This window comes from Homo sapiens, chromosome 5, assembly GCF_000001405.40.
Source record: "Homo sapiens chromosome 5, GRCh38.p14 Primary Assembly".
NCBI lineage: Eukaryota > Metazoa > Chordata > Mammalia > Primates > Hominidae > Homo > Homo sapiens.
Window position 1 is genome coordinate 148,955,227 of NC_000005.10, and position 2,895 is coordinate 148,958,121.

At 44.1% G+C, this 2,895-nt stretch overlaps 1 annotated feature.

The window, feature by feature from the left end:
* Positions 1,191–1,763: an enhancer, noted in NCBI's record as "NANOG-H3K4me1 hESC enhancer chr5:148335980-148336552 (GRCh37/hg19 assembly coordinates)". NCBI's record gives its function as "activates a minimal SCP1, AML or CMV promoter by ChIP-STARR-seq in naive H9 embryonic stem cells {active_cell/tissue: H9 hESC(naive)}" and the evidence as "EXISTENCE:reporter gene assay evidence [ECO:0000049][PMID:30033119]".

Below are 2,895 nucleotides of genomic sequence, written 5' to 3' on the forward strand. Positions count from 1 at the left end.
AGGAGCTTAACTCTGAGCTTTGAAATTTAATTCTTTATGCCTCTGCCACAGATCTTCTCCTCTCCCCTCTCTGGAAATGAAGGCTGTAGATTTTCTACAATATCAGGGAACCTGCCCCGATAGTCACATAGGTTCTTTTCTATTTTCCCTAAGCATCAGCTGGGTTGAGAAATAAAGGGACAGAGTACAAAAGAGAGAAATTTTAAAGCTGGGCATCCAGGGGAGACAGCACATGTCGGTAGGTTCCGTGATGCCCCCTGAGCCATAAAACCAGCAAGTTTTTATTAGGGACTTTCAAAAAGGGAGGGAGTGTATGAATAGGGTGCGGGTCATGAAGATCACTTACTTCACAAGGTAACAGAATATCACAAGGCAAATGGAGGCAGGGCGAGATCACAGGACCACAGGACTGGGGTGAAATTAAAATTGCCAACGAAGTTTCTGACACCACTGTCATTGATAACATCTTATCAGGAGACAGGATTTGAGAGCAACCGGTCTGACCAAAATTTATTAGGTGGGAATTTCCTCTTCCTAACAAGCCTGGGAGTGCTATGGGAGACTGGGGTTTATTTCATCCCTACAGTTTTGACCATAGAAGATGGCCACACCCAAGGGGGCCGTTTTAGAGACCCACCCTCAGGGGCGCATTCTCCTTCTCAGGGATGTCCCTTGCTGAGAAAAAGAATTCAGCGATATTTCTCCATTTGCTTTTGAAAGAAGAGAAATATGGCTCTGTTCCACCAGCCTCACCGGCGGTCAGAGTTTAAGGTTATCTCTCTTATTCTCTGAACATTGCTGTTATCCTGTTCTTTTTTCAAGGTGCCCAGATTTCATATTGTTCAAACACACATGCTCTACAATTTGTGCAGTTAACGTAATTATCACAGGGTCCTGAGGAAACATACATCATCCTCAGCTGACAGGATTAAGAGATTAAAGTAAAGACAGGCATAGGAAATCACAAGGGTATTGATTGGGGAAGTGATAAGTGTCCATGATATCTTCACAATTTATGTTTAGAGATTGCAGTAAAGACAGGCATAAGAAATTATAAAAGTATTAATTTGGGGAACTAATAAATGTCCATGAAATCTTCACAATCCATATTCTTCTCCCATGGCTTCAGCCAGTCCCTCCATTCGGGGTCCCTGACCTCCCGCAACATACAAAGCTGGATTCCAGGTGTTTTCAATTCATTATTTAATTAATCAGTCTGCAAAGTATATAGTTAGGTATGCCCATCATTTAGGAAAATTAACACACAAGAACCAAAGAACTATACTTTGGTATAGAAATTCACATTACAAATGGGGCTTCTTTAAAGTGAGAGCCCTAAGTATACTCAGGATATGATTTGAATTGTAAAATATCTTTGCTTAACCACAACTCTTTTGGAATACACATAGAGCACACAATGAAGGCCAGTTCAAAGCCTGAGTGTCACAGATCCTTTCTACAAGACGATCTAGGGAAATGGTTCCCAGACCTCAGCATGCATCAGAGTCACCTAGACAGCTCATTAACATGCAGATTCCTGGGCCCTCCTCCAGAGCTGCCTTATCATTATCTCTGGGGGTGGAGCCCAGTAGTTTCTCTACTTAAGCAACTCTCCAGGTGACTGGATGCAGGCAGTCCAAGAGCCACACCTGTGCTAGGTCTTAAAGCTGCAGTACTCCTATGCCTGGAACAAAGCCACCCCACAGCTCCTGGCCCATTGCTCAGTGTGAGGCCATCCATGTGGAAGCCCCCTTTCACTCAAGAGCTGGACCCCAGGCTCCTTTGACACCAGCTGCAAATGCCACACACCAGCTGCCCCAGATAGCTCAGGTACAAGCCCCTCCTAATCAAAACCTCAGGCTTGAAATGCGTGCACAATTACACAGATGGCAAAGCAGAAGGCCACAGGGGAGACGGGACTCACCCAGCAGCAGTGGGCAAGCCAGAGAGCCATGTGGGGCAGAAGGTCTGCTCTTCTGGTCCCTCTGCCAGCCCTGCACAGCCTCCAGGTTTCTGCTACATGGCTCTTCCTCTCAGGATGAACTTGAGAATGAATTAGGTGTTCCTGTTATTATCTGTCTCCAAACATTGTCTTTCTCCTTCACACCAATCACAGTTGGTAGCTATGTAGTATTTTTTGACATTTGTCTTTCTAACTAGACGATGGACTTATTGAGACAGGAGCCTGTTTTGTACCCCAGAGTGTCTAGCACCTAAACAGTGCCCAGCGCATAGTAGAAAGTCAATAAATATGGACAGACAGAAGTTAAAATGATCTCTTCTACATAATAGAAAATAGAAATATTGAAAAAAAAAAAAAAAGAGAGAGAGGTTTGTCATGGCTAGAAACAAGTCTATGCCATGAAGCCCTGGGAGGCAGAGGGAACTTGCTCTCCCTCAGGCCTCAGTGTCCAGACTGAACTAAACAGTCTCTCCCTAGCCTTCCAACTCATAACAGTCTATAGACTTTAAAGAATGGATTGAATAGAAAATGACTGAACATTAGACTTCCACCTCTCTACAGGGGGTTGGGGTCCTAGAGGCCACCCGGCTTTATGGCTTCCCAGCTCCCTCTAGTGGCCAGGGCCATGTTACACTACAATTTTGTGATGGTCTTTGCTTATCAAATTGAGCTGCAATCAGTTATTTAGCTGAGTTAATAAATGAGTGTTATTAAACTGAGTTTAAGTTAGTTTAGAGGTCTGGCTTGAATATAATTAGTAACTTACATACATGTGGAGAGTATTAAACCCATTGAGTTCGTCGTTTATTAATTCAGCATCTCATGGCCCAGTGCCTAATCTATACCTGGGACAGTGCCAGGTGAAAGGATATAGCAATGAGCATGTCAGGGATCTCCACTGCCCATGGTGCTTATATCCTAGGGAGGGAAGG